The 19,499-nt window shown below is 34.1% G+C and overlaps 1 protein-coding gene across 11 annotated transcripts in view, besides 1 other annotated feature; it reads left to right on the forward strand.

Moving 5' to 3' along the window:
* CNTN5 (contactin 5) overlaps positions 1-19,499 on the forward strand; it is a 1,337,937-nt gene that overhangs the window by 303,492 nt on the left and 1,014,946 nt on the right. For 8 of the 11 annotated variants that reach the window (XM_017017926.2, NM_014361.4, XM_011542871.2 and 5 more), the window contains one exon: positions 906-1,044. The exons of the other annotated variants lie outside the window; for them this stretch is intronic. The gene's annotated coding sequence lies outside the window, so the exon portion shown is untranslated. The remainder of the gene's footprint in view (positions 1-905; positions 1,045-19,499) is intronic. 11 annotated transcript variants of the gene reach the window in all.
* Positions 419-1,618: an enhancer, noted in NCBI's record as "MED14-independent group 3 enhancer chr11:99195590-99196789 (GRCh37/hg19 assembly coordinates)". NCBI's record gives its function as "activates an origin of replication core promoter dependent on BRD2, BRD4, P300/CBP and CDK7 cofactors, and independent of MED14, by STARR-seq in HCT116 cells {active_cell/tissue: HCT116}" and the evidence as "EXISTENCE:reporter gene assay evidence [ECO:0000049][PMID:35650434]".

Consider the following 19,499-nt stretch of genomic DNA (forward strand, 5'->3'; position numbering starts at 1 on the left):
ATATGAGGATGGCAAGTTCATGAAGATAGTGTAAAATTGCTGAAAACAATAAGAAATATGTTATTAGATTCTTATTTGAAATATATGTATGGGTAGCTACGCTAGGTTTTCAATCCTAATACATCAATAATCTACCAAAGATTAAATTTAATGGAAATATGAATTTCAGTGTATAGAGAATTTCATTAAACAATGAACTTCATTAGAAATAAAGAGAATAGAGGTGGCCCCATTCATGCCTATCCTTAATGGAGCTCCTAACACAACTCACGGTTACTGCAAGCTCCACCTCCCGGGTTCACACCATTCTCCTGCCTCAGCCTCCCAAGTAGCTGGGACTACAGGCGCCCTCCACCACGCCCAGCTACTTTTTTGTATTTTTAGTAGAGACGGGGTTTCACCGTGTTAGCCAGGATGGTCTCGATCTCCTGACCTCGTGATCCGCCTGCCTCGGCCTCCCAAAGTGCCTGGATTACAGGTGTGAGCCACTGCACCCAGCTGTAAATTCTTAAATAAAATAAATAATAAATTTAACATTGCATATGCTAGGAATAGCATAGAATTTTCATATTATTGTCTTATAAATATTAAGAAAAGCTTGGAATGGTGGTATAAGTTAGTGTGTTAAATATTCTAAGCTATTGTAGCCCATGTAAGCTTAGAGTGACATTATGTTATATTATTAAATATAAATTATAAAGGAAAAATACATCTGAAAAAGCAACTACATAAATATACCTAATTAGAAGCTGTATGTGTTTATATGGGTAAAAAGCATAGTGATTGTATGTATAACTAAATAGAACATTGATCTAAAATATTTAATAAGATGCATGGGTTTTGGTCAAGCAAAGTTGAAAAAAAGGATGATTTTTATCACAATAGTATATATTATTTCTTAACAGGTGTCTTTAAAGGATTGCCATTTAATGCCATTCAAGATCTACTAAGCATCATTTTTGCATGACTACTGCAAAAGGATTACTTTACAGATACCAGTTCCTTTGTCAAGAGCATACTTTGGACCCTGTTTTCAGAAAGCAGGTATGGTTCATCTTTATTAAACTGCCTATAAAATTGAAAGACATGTTGAAAAAAAATATAAGATTCATGCATATCCTTAATGGAGCTCCTAATACAACTGCTGAATATGCTAAAGCTTAATATGTTATTTTCTCAAATTAAGTGATTTGTCTTTGAATTGAAAACACCTTGATTGTGTCAGTAACATAAATGCTCTATAAATATTCTGCAAATATTATTAAAAGTGAAACACAGTAAAATATTTGTTCTTACTAATTTTTTAGTTTGATATGAGGATGGCAAGTAACTGAATGTGGTATAAAATGGCTGAAAACAGTAAGAAAAACAGTACTCAGATATAGCCTCCTGTTCCATGATATCTTTCTCAACCGACATATAATGTGCTAGTGGATGGCTTTTGTGCTTTTTGTATGTGCTCGAATTTTAAGACAATGCTTAAAGTTAAATAAGCAGGAAGTCATGGGTGGAGAGAGGTAGTGTCATCCCCACCAGGGAACGGGGATCTTCTGAAGGCAGACGACTTTTATGCAGTTTGCACAACAGCTCCGCATTCTTACATATTTACGTAACCAACAGAAATTACTAAAGAGTGATTCACTTATTTTGAGTGAAACTGGGCATTGTGTAATAATAATCCTTTAAAATGAATACTCTAAAATACTTTGAAATACATCAATGGACATTTATTATTTACGACTAAGTGGCACCAGTAGACGATCTTGAATTAAATCCATTGTGTGCTATTTAACTACAATACTTCTGATGTACTTTTTAGATAATCAACCAAGAAGGTCAATACACTATGAATATAGAATGATTATCTTTATTTTCTGCTTATTTATAAAATGTTGACAATAGTGTACCCAATTTCAAGGCTGTCACTTGTTTATCCTTTAACTTGTTAGGTTAATCCAGGTTAATTGATTCAAAATAGGAGAGGAGTTTCCTCATCCTACTCTATGCTTTCAGTACCTTCAAGCTTGAAAATTAGCATTAAAGAAGAGAAGTTACTAAATGTGGATGTGAGAGCAGTTCTTTTGGAAGATGTAGGAGTCTGAAGTTTTACCACGATATGTGATTTTACTTTCTACTAGCCACACTCAAATTCTAGCAGCTCGTTGCAGAAAATGTTACTTTCCATGTGTCTTTTATTCATTTCATTAAATCATGCCAGTCTGTCATTTTGATTGCAGGCCCTAACTGTACCAGGTATCTCTAAATTAATCTTGTGAAGAAAAGCAACCACATAAAAGAAAAAAATTTAAAGACAAAGTATAAAGAAGGGAAGGGGAAGTATCTAACAGTGAAACCTCAAATCATGGGAAAAAATTGAGTTCCATATAAATTAATCCATTGCTATATTCTAACATTAGACAGATTGTAAGCCAAATTTTGCCATCAAAGTTCTATTTGTTACAATAAGAATGATTTAAGAATAGGTTACATACACAAAATAATAATAATAATCTGTATTCTGTCTATAAACGTAAACATCTTGGAAGCTGTTATTTCCTATATATAAACATTTTGTTCTTAACTCATAATCATGGACGCACCTTAACAAATCAAACTCTATATTTTTTTTTACTTCTGAGATATCTGTGACTACTAGAGATAAATTAAATCTAAGCACCTTAATTGAATTTAGTAATGTTAGAAACAAGTTGTTTATGATGCTTGTGACATTCAAAGAAAGACAACCGAACCACTGAACACAGCACAGCAGCTGTATGTAAGAGGGTTTCAGATCTAATGCTCACTTCCAGATGGATGATGGATAAGCAATTTGAATTTATGCTAGACACATCAGCAGATGGAAATAGAATAGAGTAAATGTCTTGGACACCTGTGAACTGGTGCATTCTATCAATTACCAACCAAATTGTATTAAATTCATGTAATTCAACAGAAGTCTAATTAATTTTTTAGAAGAGGCTCTTTGTCAATCTATTAATAAATTCAGGTTTCAAGTTGAGGATGTAGAGTGTATTTAACTGTACAGAGAACCTGTGGAATCAGGTTTGGCAGAGCAAAGTGCACTCTTATTATGCCATTTTTGTTGTTGCTCCTTCCAACTAATTGAAAAGCATATTGGTAGAATAGGAAGCAATTGAAGCAAATGAGACAAACTGAGCACTCCAAAAAGACATAAGTGAATTAGAATTGATGATTCTGACAAGAGTGGATTCACAGTGTCATTTTAAATAAAACGCCATTTCATTCATATACTTGCACCTAATCTGTCACTGTAACAACTGAAAACATTCAGCGGCAAAACTGACAGTTTCATCTTGACACAACCAACTCAGTTCCTGCCATAATAAGAGGCAATATATATTAAAAGCGGTCCTGAGTTCAGCCTTTGAGAATGAAATGTTTCACTCAATAACTTATACAACTCATCCAGGAGACACTGGCTCAGCTCCAAGTGGAAGAGCTTTATTTCATTAGAGAAGAGTCTGAATGGCTCTAGGTTTATAGATTTTTAGCATTGCCAGGATTCTCATCAATTCATGAAGGGAAACCTCTAAGTATCAATGTATGCATCTCTTAGAGAGTATTACAGTTGATAAGAATAGAGTAGAATGTGCTCTGAATTTCAAAAATAGGAAATCTAATGTTCATCTTTAAAGCTCTTGACAATTACACAGAAATTTGAAGAGAAAAAATTTCTCATATCGTTTGCGACATAAGTATTGTGTAAATTAACAGTGCTACTACTTGCTAAAATGTTTACAGTGTGGCCAGAATTGACAAAATAATGAAGGAAGGTGGACGGAGACAGTTTTGAATGAATACTCGAAAGAATTTCTTAGCAATTAGAGTGTCCACAGCAATCTTTCAAGGGTCATGTGTCCAGATGAATGAAAAGCGTAATTTCTTATCATCAGGAAGGGAGATGGAACAGTTCCACACAAAATTGTTATTCAACAACAAAATCCTGATTAATTTTGAGGTGGTTCTTATAGACATCTGTGTTTTACTACTTGCAAAAATTGGTTATTTATTTTAACTACACATATAGTTTTTTGTGTTTTAGAAAATATTGTTTTCCAGTATTTTATAGGAAAATTTGTTATATGAAGTATAAAAATGCCTAGTAAGGTTGGACATGGTAGTTCACACCTGTAATCCCAGCCCTTTGGAAGGCCGAGATGGGTGGATCACCTGAGGTCGGGAGTTTGAGACCAGCTTGACCAACATGGAGAAACCCCGTCTCTACTAAAAATACAAAATTAGCCAAGCATGATGGTGCATGTGTGTAATCCCAGCTACTCAGGAGGCTGAGGCAGGAGAATTGCTTGAACCCAGGAGGCGGAGGTTGCAGTGAGCCAAGATCACACCATTGCACTCCAGCCTGGGCAACAAGAACAAAACTCCATCTCAAAAAAAAAAAAAAAAAAGAAAAAAAACAGGAAAAAGAAAAAAAAACCTAGTAAGGTGAAACTAAATAGAATGGCTTAAGTAAATACATGTATAAGTTGGTGTGAAACATTGTAATCTGAGGCTGCATGAATTTCTTGGACAGCATTTATCTCTATCTGCCAGTTATGGTGGTGGGACGGGGTGGTTCAAGTTGGATATCGATGGATTATTTTCATTATCAGCCTATCCATAGGAAATATGTTGGTGCATTAATATTTTCCAAGTTGAAGTTCCTAAGGAGATGTAAGAAAACTGAATTTGCCCAAAGCAAGAGGAAGAAAAATAAGGAATATATTTTAGTGTGATAATGTAACAGATCATATAGGCTTTCTAGTACATAAATTTTTGCTAGTGTGACACAAGGCATCCACAGGTTGAAAACATGCAAACACTTTCATTAATATGAATGTATGCAAAATATCTCCTATATGATACTTGCTCAGCAAATGTTAACATTTATTTAATATTTCCGTTGTGGAAATAACTCATGGAAACAGAGGAAATATTTATTTTCTGGAGTAAGTTTTGAGTATAAGAAAATTTCCATCCACCTCTGCTCACAAACAAGAAATGGAACTCTTAGTCTGAAGGCTCAGTCACCTGAACACCTCAAGGCTGTCCTACAACATAAGAAGGGCTCTATCTCTTCATTAGATGGGTCTGAAATTCAGTTCATCTCTCTGCGCTAAGCTTAGTATACAGAGTGAATCCCAGACAGACAAATTCTTAACTAGATACAGACTTCTGCTTAGAAACTGTCACATATGCTGAGTGTATTGAGGCAATTCTAACAAATGGAAAGATTATAGGCTTTGAAATAAGTTAAAACTAGGATTGACTCTGTGCTGTAATATTTGCTGACTGAAGATACTTGGCTGTATCTCAATTTTTATAAACCTCAACTTTCATTTGACTAAAAAAGTGAATACTATCTCATTTTTGTAAGGGTGCAAAAAGTTCACACAAAATCGATCTTATCTATATCTGTACATATACAAGCAGTGACACACACACACACACACACACACACACACACACACACACACAATCCCTTATATTTAAAGCTTGGTATCTGAAAAGTGTTTAGCAGATGGTTATTATTGTCATAGAATAAGTAGCATACATTTTTAACCACCGAGTGGACTGAAACTTACTGAAAGTCTCGTAAGACTTAAAAAAAAAAGGAAAAGAAGTACATCAGGAAAGAAGGGAAGAAAGGAAGAAAGAAGGAAACAAGAAAAGAAAGGAAGGAAGGGAGGGAGGGGAGGGAGGAGGGAGGCAAGGAGGAAGGGAGGAAGGAAAGGGAGAAGGAAGGGAAGGAAGGAGGAAGAAAGGAGGGAGGGAAGGAGAGAGACAGAGTAAGGGGGAAGAGCGGGAAGGAGAGAGGGAAAGGAAGGGAAGAAAATATAGATTTGGCCTTTGGGCATTAATATTTGCATTCTCGGGCTCTTGTGGGATATAAGACTAACAAAGAAAAATGATACATTCCTATCTATCTGTCATAAATGATTAGAAAATGGAATAAAAAGAGATCTCATACATAATGGAAATAATGATTGCGTAGTATTGTGCTGGATTTTGGGTTAGTACACAGCACCCTTTCCTAATTCTTGTGCTCTCCAGAATGTTAGAAGGCCAGGGACTCTGATAACTGTGTTTCTCAAAACACCTGTTAGCAGGATTCATGATGAGGTGCCACTCAATGGGAGATGTACAAGAGATAGGGAAAATGTAAGAGAAGCAGCCACAGTGGCCTCAGATGCATTTTTTAGTATCATATGCCTCAGTGCTGGAAGCTGTGCTAATTGCTGGTAGTTATCTAGAGTTCTGCAATGACCCACTCTTTGAAAACTCTCAGTCATTTTAAGATTTAGCAGTGGTCTTTCCTGTCATTTGTTTCTTCAGCTTTTCTAACAGTTTAAAACAAGTTGATATCTAAATTTCTTTTTAATTAAAATACCTAAAAATTTATTTTTATTTTTCTGACCTAAACTTGATAAAGGAGATGCCTAAAAATAAACATACACACACACATGTGCACACACACACATTCAGACACACACACACATACACACACAAACACAAATATATATATGCAAAAGCCTACTGAGATGCATAAAAATGGAGAGATATATTGTGTTTGTAGACAGGAAGACTCGATTTTCAAGAGTGTTAAGCTTCCCTCAATTGGTTTTATTTTGGTTTAACTTCAAAAAGTTAATTTAGCAAAATTAAGACAGTGTGTTTTGGGGACAGGGTAGAGCCTTGCAGTAACCTTTGGAAGATACTAGAAAGCTCAGAGAACATTTTCTGCCTCTATGAAAACTTGATATACAAGTGATGTGATACCGAAGACCAGTGGAGAAAGAATGGACTATGCTATAAATTGTGCTAGTAAAATATATTACTCATCAAAAATTAAAATAAGATCTCTCAGAATGCCATACAATAAATAAATTAAAATAACTATAGATAGATGTAGGACTTAAAAGGCAGAACTTTAAATTTTAGAAAGAAGAAATTGGTAATAATTTAATTACCTCAACATGCAGAAAGATATTTTAGACCCACAAAAAGCAGTTAACAAAATGACAGAGGTGACTATAGTGGAAAATAAATGAAAAAGAAAACACAATTGTGACAAAACACCTTGGTGCCTAGACTTTTAATAACTTTCTTTTACCTGTAAAATAATAATAAAAGAAAATATTTAGCAATCATTACTTTTACATATCTGCAGTAGATCAACTTTCCAAGTTTGCAGTTTAACATTTTAGTAAATTGCAATGTTGTATTTAATTTTTTAACTCTTCCTATCTCTGCACATTCAGTGTCTGACTTTCTAGCTCTTCTCAGCAAAGGAATAAAATATACCTACTTGATTCTTGACTTTGGGTTTAGCCATGTGACCTGCTTTGAACAATTGAATTAACAAAAGGAATAGTATACCAGCTGTGAGGTCAGGCCTTAAGACACAATGCATATTTCCATGAGCCATGTTGCTCTTTTTTCACCATCAAGAGAATAATGAATAAAAAGAGAGACGTGGAATAGAGTCATCCCAGATGAAACATCCCAGCCAAACCCAGCCACAATCAGCTGACCTTCAGCCACTCAAGATGAGTTAATGATAATAAATTACTGTTGTTTTAAAACATAAAGTTTTGGGGTGATTTGTTATATAGCAATAGCTAACTGATAGAACTATTATTCACAAAATAATTTATATTCCACTAATTTTTGACAACTCATTATCCCCAAATATGCATTTTACTTTCCTTCACTAATTTCTCTGTTTATATTTTAACCCTATCTGGCATGCCCTATGCTCCAAATTATTCCACTTTTCATGTTAAAATTAAGATCAAATCCTACTATTTCCACAATGTCTCAGTCTCATCTTATATGAAATAAAAGAAACATGCTGCATAATAACTGATAGTATCAATATTTGTTCTTCTGCTTTTATTTTCTATACAATAATTTTAAAGCTTGGTATTGTATCTTATACCAATCTGTGCCCCGATAATGTCTTCCACATAGTGCATTTTAAACTAATATTTGAAGAATAAATTACATAAGTAACAGTTGATATGGCTGATAGTCACGGTTACAAAGACAGTTTTTTTTATCATATACATACGCCTGTTTTATTTACAAATTATTTCTCCAGATTGAAGTTTTTCTCTTACTCTATTATGGTGTACAACAATTAAGGGAAAGAGAGAGTTAAAATGTAAATAAGGAGAATTGGCAACCACGCCTCTACAAATGTTAGGTCATCTTCAAGTGATGATCTATTATCATCAGTGACAAGATGTCAAAATTAGGAAGCAGAAAACCCCTGCAGCTAATGTATGGTAAATTAACTAATTAGTCTATTAGTATCCAAGATCACACTGTAAATGGTTTCCAAGTGTCAGTATTTACCTTACTAAATTTTAAGAGGCGATAGCCAGAGGTTCAAATATTGGAATGTTATTTCATGAATGATATAATTCACTTAGCGCAACCGTATTTCTTTTTCCTTTGTAAATAAAGTTAAAATATCCATACTTTCATGCATCGTAATTTAGAAGCCGCTACCTATATATGCTTTTTAGTGATAATTTCATGTGTGAAAAAGCATAATAAATTGTCCAAAAAACTTCCCGGGTAGCTTTTAAATTGCACATTGTGGCACAAGATCAGTGTTTAGTCAAATCTATTCTATTACCATGATTGCAAATGTCATTTGTAAAAAGTTTTATGCTTTTATTTTAATGCTACATTTGGCAAGCTGGTATGTTTACTATTCAAACAATTTTTTCTTACCTAATTTTCTTCTGATATGTTGAAAATGGGAAAAAAAGAAACACATTTTTGGATCACCTGTGATTTAGGTGACTTTTGGGGCTACACTTACACATACAATAAAACAGATAGGTTTCAGGGAAATTAGCTTAAAAATTGTAGTTGCTTATACTTATAAATTCTCATGCATTCTTTTTGCTTTATAGAATGGGGAAAATCTGCAAGACTTAGCATGACCACCACTTCATAGACTTAATCTACAAACAATATCCATATTTTATTGAATATTTCCTACTATCGCTATGCTTCCCAAATAGATTGATTACTTAAAATAATAAAACATTTTATAATTACTTTCTGAAAATAACTTTTAATAATGTATTAATAATGTATTTGATACTAAGCTAGCATGTGGAATAGAAAATATATTTCAAATCTCTGAGATTTTATTTGGGGTTAAAAGGAAGGTGAAAATTTTCTGTTGTGTCTATATGTCACTATAGGAAATCATATTCTAAGATTTCAATGATGCATGGCAGTGGAAATAACAGAGATGAATACAATAGACTTTCCCATAGACTGAGTTTTCCAGGTCATTTAACTCTCTCTAGTGTCTTCAAAACTCTCCAACAGAGTTAATGATAACGGATTGTCATATTATTGTCCTCATGGTGACCTGCTTGGGTAGAAGATAAAAAATGCTATACTCTCAAAGCTATGGGTAAAAATATAGTGATTATCAACTCATCAACTTTCTCTCTCTCTCTCTCACACACACACACACACACACACACAGTGCATTGTATCCTTTTATTAAAAATATAAATTATCAAGAATGAAATCAAGAGCTGAAAATTAAACAAAAACCAAAACTAAAAAGGCCAGCACATACACGCCTTGAGTGATAAAAATCCTGTCCTTTGCTCTTAAAACATCTCAGACTCTCACTCACAAATACACAGGCATCTTTGAAAGCAATTCAAACAAATTTTATTGTCTGGCTTCACAATTCATGACAGGGTAAAAATAGAATGTGAGAAGATAGATGGGCCTCTAGAAATACACACAGGACTATTCAATGAATTGAGAATTGACAGCCCCATAGTAGCAGCTAAGGAAACTGTAAGCATATTAAATAATTCTACTTGCAAAGAAACTTTGAAATAGTTCATAAAGTAGCCAACAGGTGGGAGGATGTGGTGATGGATGTGATACTTATCTTAATTTGATCATTATACAATACACAGGTGTATTGAAATAATAGTTACCCATAAATACGTATAATTATGATGTGTCATTTTAAAACAAAATAAAACTTTACATACACACACAGACACACATACACACATACAGTATTGGACTGAGCCACTTCCTAAGCAATATTAGTATATTGTTAATTAAGTTTGTACTATCCAATAAAGATAGCTACTAGCCACATGTGGCTATTGAATCCTTGTAATGGGGCTAGTTTGAATTAAGGTGTGTTGTGAAAATAAAGTACAACACAAGTTTCCAAGACACAGTATGAAAAAAATGTAAAATATTTTATTAATAATTATCATTTCATGTAGAAATTATAATATTTTAGATATATTGGGTTAACAAAATATATTTTTTAAAATAATTCTTTTTTCTTAATTGTTACTATTATTTTCTTTTTAATAAAACATGAAATATAGTTCTAATACACATTGTTTCTGTATTGCCTGATTTGAGTAGGAGTTATTTGACTTTCTGGCCCTCAACCTAACTATCAGCAAAGCCAAATAGACATGCTTGAAACAATAATGGACATTCAGTGTATTCCTCAGCAATACTTCCTCTGGAAGTCGTATTCACTGGCACCAGAGCTGTTTCAACCACTGCTTCTAGGCCAAATTGGAAAACCTATAATAACAGCAATAGCAAATATTCAGCATTTGTTTGTGAAGTGTCAGAAGCTGTTCTATGATTGATTCTCACAGCAACTTACTAGTTCAAGCTTATTAATATCTCTAGGAATTTAAAGCAGTGAGATCAAGAAGTAACTAGTTGAGGGAGTTTCAAACCTCTGCAATCTTGTTCTAAAGTCTCTGTTTTTTAGCCACATCTCTCTTCTGCCATACAGAAGTCTTCAATCTTTTAATCCTGCTTATGAAAACATAAGTTCTCTGGAGTCATGTTACCTATATGGTGCCCATGCTAAAAATTCTAGACATTTTTTATAATAAAATTGCCAGACTGTTTTTGGAAGTTGCTTTAGTCTGGATTTCCTTTAGGCATACAATGAAAATAGTTTAACAGGAGGTGACCTGAGGAAGCAAGCAGAAGTGAGAGGGTAGGGAAAACAAGACCGAGAATGGAGAAAAGTCGAGAAAGGACATAATAATGAGCAGGTCCACACATGCAAGTATATGGAGCTTCATCTTGCTCCAGCTTCTTGTATATCTTCCCTCTGAGGTTTCATACAAAACATACCTCAGAATTCTCACAATGATAGATGGAAAGCTGGGGTAAATATGTCCCTAATTAGGCTCATGGGTGAGGGTTGACTTTAGGGCTGTTAACACTCAGATTCCTTTCAAGCTGCCCTGTACTTGGTTGAACAAGCCTCCGTGGTGCTAGAGAAAATCTTGAGGCAGAGAAGCAGGATGAGACTCGGACCCTCGAGATGAGACAATGAGTACAGGAACAGTCCTCTATGCCTGCAGGTGGACTGATTCACCATTGTGGACTGGGGCATTAACAGCATCTGCTACTGAAGTGTAATTAAAATATAGTCAGATTCCCTGGAAACACAGAGAATCCTACAAGATTCTGTTTGAGCCTTCTTCAGCCTAACCTTATTCTTGGATAAAAAAAAAAACTTTTTGTTTTTAGATTGCTGATTTAGCCTTTAATTTATCGGAGGGGTATGTTTGTACACAGTAGTAAATTCAATAAATGTCAACTACATTATTTTAACTAGTCCCTCTAACACTAGGAAAGTTCAGTCAAAAATATCAATCAAATTAGCTATTAGGTATGAAATTGTCAAATTGGTTAAGAGAATGTTTCACTTTTTTGTGTGATGAGCTTATAGCTTGGATAAACAACCTAAGGGTATAATTTGTGCACTCTGAGTTGCTTGAATGGCATGGCCTCAAACGGGTATGCCACGCAGGAAATAATCTGTTGTGGAATTCCTTAAATAACATTTATTTTACTATTTGTCTTATATTTCTAATACTATTACTGTGAAATAGTAATTCTGTGTAATTCACAGTAATAGTATTACTGTAAAATAGAAATATTATTGTGAAATAAAAGTGACTTTTTTTCTATTTATTCCACAATTTTCTTAATGTCTTATAAACTAGACAAGAATAAGAAATAGGCCTGGTGCAGTGGCTCATGCCTATAATCCTAGCATTTTGGGAGGCTGAGGTGGTCAGATTACCTGAGGTCAGGAGTTTCAGACCAGCCTGGTCATCATGGTGAGACTCCGTCTCTACTAAAAGTACGACAATTAGCTGGGCATGGTGCTGGGTGCCTGTAATCCCAGCTGAGGCAGGAGAATCGCTTGAACCCAGGAGGCAGAGGTTGCAGTGAGCCTAGACCACGCCATTGCACTCCAGCCTGGGTGACAGAGTGAGACTCTGTCTCAAAAAAAAAGAAAAAAAAAGAATAAGAGCTAAAATGTTTACTAAACAGTAGATATAGAAAGAAGATCACTATGACAGCATGACAATTCACAATAGTAAAAGGGAAACATGCTTGGTGTACAGATTTTTTTTTACAAATGACCATGTTCTAAAGAAATTTAACAAGAATTTTGAAGTCACATAAGGACACATACAGAGTATTTCTTCATGCCTTTTGAAGCTAGAAGGGGAATCAGTGTATTTCTTAATAATTTTTCTCTATATCTTGTCAGAGAAGGGACAGTCCGTTCAATTTTTTCCTAATATTAAGGTGTATGTGAAATGAAGATAAGCATAATCTTAGAAGAGACTTTTGAAAAACATGTTGTAGCTGTGGAATTTAAGTTAATTTATAAATATTACAGTTAAATAGTGCAGAGACCAGCTCGGTCGGGGAGACCCTAACCCAGCAGCGCTAGAGGAATTAAAGACACACACACAGAAAGATAGAGGTGTGAAGTGGAAATCAGGGATCTCACAGCCTTCAGAGCTGAGAGCCCGGAACAGACATTTACCCACGTATTTATTAACAGCAAACCAGTCATTAGCATTGTTTCTATAGATACTAAATTAACTAAAAGTATCCCTTAAGGGAAACGAAGGGATAGGCCGAATTAATTGCAGCAGGAACACGCCCTTAAGACACAGATTGCTCATACGTTTGTTTGCGGCTTAAGAATGACTTTAGGTGGTTTTCTGCCCTGGACGGACCAGGTGTTCCTTGCCCTCATTCCCGTAAACCCACAACCTTCCAGCTTGGGTGTTATGGCGATTATGGACATGTTACATTGCTGCAGAGATTTTATTTATGGCCAGTCTTGGGGCCAGTTTATGGCTGGATTTTGGGGGGCTTGCTCCCAACAAAATAGTAAGTTACATATTTTTCCGGGACTATCTATTATTTTCCACTTGAGGCTATTCAAAGAAAAAAATGTATAAGAAGTCTTTTTTTGGAATATTGAAAGTATAATGTCAGTAGTTATTTCTATGTTCTATAAAAGTTTAAAAAAATCAAAGCAGAATAAATCTGTACTAAATGTTGTTTTCTTTACTATTGAAATGACTACTATCACATTAAAATTGGAAAAATTATTCAACTATAGGATATTTCAGAGTATTATATGCCATATTACATGCTTTAGTTTAAATTCATAAACTTATTTGTAAAAATTAAATTGCTGTAAAATAGAAAATTAATTTTTCTATATATGTCTTTTGGAAGTGGTTCCTTCCATTTACATTAGCATTATAAGTAGGTGTTAATTTTATACTGTTATGAACACAAAGCATCTTTAAATATGCAACACAATGAAATATCTGCTATTTCATTCAATAATATCTACTCATTTAAAAATGTTTGACTTACTTATCTTTCCACCCAGCCTGGTCAAACAGCTCTATACTTGAGTCTCATTCTTTTTCTTTCATAAAACTGCTTTTATTGAATTGCATTTTGGTCTTTGCTATTTATTTTTATTGAGGGGCATAATAAGATTCAGTAATACTCAAATCACAAGAATGAGTAGGGCATGGTGTCCACCATGTCTGACAGGGTTCCATTAGGGGGTTGGAACAGAATGAGGGGTGGAGAATGTCTCTTTTTTCTTACGGCAGAGAACAGTTGTTCGTTTTGGGGATAACTTTTTTTGTTGCTGTTTAATTTTATTTTGTTGCTATTTTTAACATTCAGTGAGAACCAGGGTGTGTATTTATTTTAATCTCCCTGATTCTGTAAAATAATGTCATTTATAGTATTTCATTCTGCTTTGGCTGATGTGAGGCTTAAAATCAAATTAAAGCCAAAATGGGAGCCAAGAAACTGTACTAGGTTTTATGATGTCTTCCATTTTCTTTTCTTATTGGTATTTTCTCTATTTGTATATGCTCATTTATTTTATTTGCTTATTTTGTTTATATTTATGTAAATTGTGTCAACTTTAGTTATAAAATGTGTTAAATAAATAATCTAGGAAAATCATTATAACATCTTTTTTCTAATTTTCTAAGAGTTTTGTTGGTGCTTAATCAATTTTATGTATTTTGTTCATTCACAGATATATATATATATATATATATATATATCTGTGATATATATGTGTGTGTTTGTGTGTGTGTGTATATATATATATAGTGTCCATTATGAGTGAACTAGAAATATAGCCATGAATCATTTTATTAGTCCTTATCCCTATAGATAAATGCTGAGGGGATGGATACCCCATCTCTATGATGTGCCTATTTCACATTGCATGCCTATATTACAACATCTTATGTACTCCATAAATGTATACACCTACTATGTACCTACAAAAATTAAAAATGAAAACATTAAAATAAAAAAACTTTATCCTTTTGAAATTCACTTTCTAGTATGAAAATAAAGGTATTAAATTAATGAATAAATTAAAATGCAAAATATTTTTAAGTGATGAATGTCTTGGCAGAAATAAATCTCAGTTAAAGGGATAGAGAATGTTATGGTTGGGTGGTTTTTTGCTTTCGTTTTTCTGGGAGATTCTGGAAGACCTTTTTGCTAAGCCAATGTTTGCTCTGAGGCATAAAGAATGTAAGGGTGCCAGTCATGTGGATTTTTTGGTGACAGAAGGGACATCAGGTGAAAATGTCCTGAAGTGGCCAGGCTCAGTGGCTCACACCTGTAATCCCAGCACTTTGGGAGGCCGAGACGGGTGGATCACGAAGTCAGGAGATCGAGACCATCCTGGCTAACACAGTGAAACCCCGTCTCTACTAAAAAAATACAAAAAAATTAGCCGGGTGTGGTGGCAGGCGCCTGTAGTCCCATCTACTAGAGAGGCTGAGGTAGGAGAATGGCGTGAACCCAGGAGGCGGAGCTTGCAGTGAGCTGAGATTGCGCCACCGCACTCCAGCCTGCGCTACAGAGTGAGACTCCGACTCAAAAAAGAAAAAAAAAAAAAATGCCCTGAAGCAAGAATGTATTTGATTGGACTAGAGAAGAGTGAGTGAGATGGAGAGTGAAAAAAGTGAGATAAGAGAGCTGGTAGGATAAAACCAAAATCATTTTTTAGAAAAAAAAAATACATCAGTGTGAGATATTGTGTGGACTTTGGTTTTCACCCTCCGTAAGGGTATATATAGCAAGCTGGTGGAGAGTTTTGAATTGAGCAATGTCGTGATTTAATTTACATTTTAAGCAATTATTGATGGATTAGATATGACATGTAAGAAAAGGGAAAGCATAAAGGACGATCCCAGTATTTTGTTCCTTAGGAACTAGAGGGTGGGAGTTCCCTAGACAACTAGAAACAAGATTCTTCTTGTTGAGATTGGGCAAGTGTCAGAGAAAGCAGTTTGGGATGGGAAGATTAAGGAGATCATTTCCAGACAGGTGTGGGGTGCGTATTTGATATACTAGCAAAGATGTAAAATAGTTAGCAGGACATATAAATTTGGAGTATAAGGAAGCTGAGTTGTCTGGAGATATAAAATTGAAAGTCTGCACTGGTGTGTCTGGCAATACTCCAAAAGAAGACAGGAAAAGTAAGGATTATAGGGACCAAAACATAGATTACAGAGATGTGGATAATTAGGGGGGAAAAAAAAGCCTGAGAAGGAGCAGCTACAGAAATTGAAAGAACAAGTGAAGAATGGTGATGTAGATTATAAAGACTTAAGGAGGAAATGAAAAGCCATGACAAAAGCTGCTATTGGTTAGATAAGAAGTTAGGAGTGACTTTTTATTTGTTTTGGTGTTACTGTTACTTGCTAAGAGCTTTTGCAATGGCGTAGAAGTTATGGTTGAACTGAAAGCCTGGTCTGAGTGCCTTTGAGATCAAACGGTAGGAGAAAAAGCAAAGAAAGCAAGTACAGATAGATTTTTCTCTAAAGCAACAATTACTAATAGAAACAATCATAAAAATAATTCTATAAAATAATTTAATGAAAGTAATTAATTGCAAAAGCTATGGTATTACAATTACATAAATCTACATTAAACATATTCATGACCACAAAATATAATTCCATTGATTTTCTTAGAAATTATATTTTCAGGCTGCTAACTGTCAATATTTTGGGTAAACTTTTCTGCTTGATTCTGCTGCTTCTCTAATCTCCCCCATTTTGAACTGCCTGGTTAAACAGTAATTCATTAAAGGTCATACTTTGGGTGACCGAAATACTTGATATCTTATAAAGCATTTGCTGGCAAATTTTATTATTATGTTTGCATCTCATACCTTTTGTAAATTAGATAAAAGCCTAACAAGAGATGAAACAAGAATTCAATACCATCTTGTAACTGGAAGAGAGGCTTCTCTATGAAAGTATGTTTATTCTAATGAATAATCATAGCAAACTGAAATAATTTAACTTCTAATATCACAATAAATAAAACATTGAATATTTATTTAAAATAGATGTAAATATGTATTACAAACAAAATACAAGTTTCCCTAAATGAAATATTTGGAATTTGTTTTCAGACTAACCACATGTGAATACAAATAGTTTACATATATAATCTCATTTTATATTATTTCAATAATTTCATAGTATGCCTTTTTGAAGCATTAAAACTTAGAGGTAGTCTGCAAGTATGAAATTATATGGAATTTGTCATCAGGAAGCACGAGTTTGAATCCCAATTCTAGTAATTCAAACTGCATGATTTGGAGCAAACCTTCATTTTCTCAGGTTCTTCACCTGTAAAATTGGAATAATCAGAATATTTACCAAACTGGATCACTGTGGAATTCAGTGGAATGTGCTATGGTCAGTAAGTCACATGTCTTGTACTCTTTGTGGAAGGGGAAGTATGTTATCTACAAACAACAAAAAGAGGAAAAGAAAAGAAAAAGGACAAACTTAAAGCTTATATTTAACCTTACAAGAACGTTTTTTACTTGAAGGTCATTAATCAGTCTCTGTTAAGTTATTGAGGAGACAAAATTCCAGTGATAGAAACCTTCATGAACAGGCCTTGAGTCCAGTTTCTTGAATTTGCAATTCAAGAAAAATTAAATGACAAACCACGGCTGAAGAAAAGTACTGTGAGAGAACAAAAATAGTAAAGAAAACACTGATGTAATTAGCATCCAAGGAGGAATCACTACAATAATCCAGATTTGAATTCTAATAATAAAAGTTATGATTTAAACTTGATTCAAGAGCATCTTGGCCTGCTTAATAAAATAATAAGCTATCTAACATATCTAGTAATAAATCAGTGTTTATTTGTCATGCTGATCTTTTCCATATTTAAAAATAGTGTTAGTCTCAGAAAGATATGGAAAAAATAGTCTTAAATATCAGAAGCAAACATTTTACTTGCTATTTGTAAATAAGATTTTACAGACTTTAAAATATTTTAAAATTTACAATCTAGTGTGTGTAATTTGACTCATTGCCACAAACTATTTCTCATAACTTGATTCAGAGACAACTGTGTGAGGAGAGGGATATATATGGGAAACCTGAATCAATGCTACAATGATAAACGCCAAGGCTTTTACCTATAACATAAAACAAAGTAGGACAATCATTTTAAAAATTATTTATTTTTTTATAAAATTTGAAATGGTGTCATTTTATTATTTAAGAAGCAGGCAAACAGGCGTAGTGACTCATGCCCGTAATCCCAACACTTTGGGAGGCCGAGGTTGGTGGATCACTTGAGTCCAGGAGTTCAAAATCAGCCAGGGCAACATGGCGAAACCCCGTTATCTCAAAAAAAAAAAAAAAAAAAAAAAAAAAAAAAGCAGGGCGTGGTGACACGTGCCTGTGATCCCAGCTAAGCAGCTAAGGTGGGCAGGATCCCAGGAGATGGAGGTTGTGGTGATAGTACCACTGCACTCCAGCTTGGGCAACAGAGGGAAAGCTTATCTGAAAAAAGAAAGAAAGAAAGAAAGAAAGCAGATGGATATTAGTGCCCAAATTCAAGTGTTATTATACTGTTTATTTTTAGGACTATAAAAAAATCTTTGGATACAATTAATTAGAACCAGACAAACTTAAGGTGTTGTTCTAGCTGAGATATTAGTAATATTACTGAGTCTGTGTAGAAAATAACTTCAATGATGGTCATTTGTCATCAGATTAAAAAAAACTGAGATATACAAAACAAAAAACAAAACAAAACAAAACAAAAGACAAAATTTTGTAAAGTGGAAAGGGAGCATTAGATTGCTATCATTCAATAGTTGTGAAGCTTGGATCCAGAATAGAGGATGCTGCAGTGTCATTGTGCTCTTTTCTTGTCAGGCCTCATCTGGAAGAGAGGCAATAGCAAGCTGCAGGTGGCTGGAAAGAGAGGAGGGATGACGAATCTTTATCACCTGGGAAATGATGAAAGAAATTGAGGATGTGTACTCTGGAAAGCAGTAGATTTAGACAGACACAATATGTATGTTCTCAGATGTTTAAAAGTACTGTCATGTGGAAGATGGATTAGAATAGGTATGTGTTGCTCCAAAGAATAGCCTGTGGACCAAGACTAGCTGTCAGAAAGGTATTTCAGCTCAGCATGATAAAAAGGTTTCTGACTCTGAATTACATAGTGTTAGTGAGTGCTTCATTATAAGACGTATCCTGTTCTGAAAAAGTAGACTAGGTATGATATCCAAGGTCACTTCTGACACTAAGAAATCTTTGATTTTTGTGAATTAAAGTATATTTTAAATGTCCATTCTCAGTTTTAGTAAAAAGCCCTGTGCATAGTTTTAAGATAATCTGAAAAATTTATATTATTGTGTTATACGTCGATCTCTGTATCTATACCTTCTAATATGTATCTATCTTTTAAATTCTGCTTAAAGCAAGCTGCTTTAAAATTTTTCAAGGAGCATTTTTGAAAAACTTATATTCTTAAAATGAAAAACTCATAATGACCAGTCATTCATTTAAAACATTTGACCACATTTCGACCTACAAAAACAGCAGTTTCATATAAATCAATCAGATACTATGGGTCAAATAATGTGTTAGAGGTGACAATGAAACAGGGCAAGTAAATGTGTAATTACATAGAGTGTGCTAAGTGAAACAAAAAAAAATTTACAGACGCTTGTGAAAGCCTCATTTACATTCATAAAATGT

The sequence above is a fragment of the Homo sapiens genome, chromosome 11 (genome assembly GCF_000001405.40).
Source record: "Homo sapiens chromosome 11, GRCh38.p14 Primary Assembly".
Classification (NCBI taxonomy): domain Eukaryota; kingdom Metazoa; phylum Chordata; class Mammalia; order Primates; family Hominidae; genus Homo; species Homo sapiens.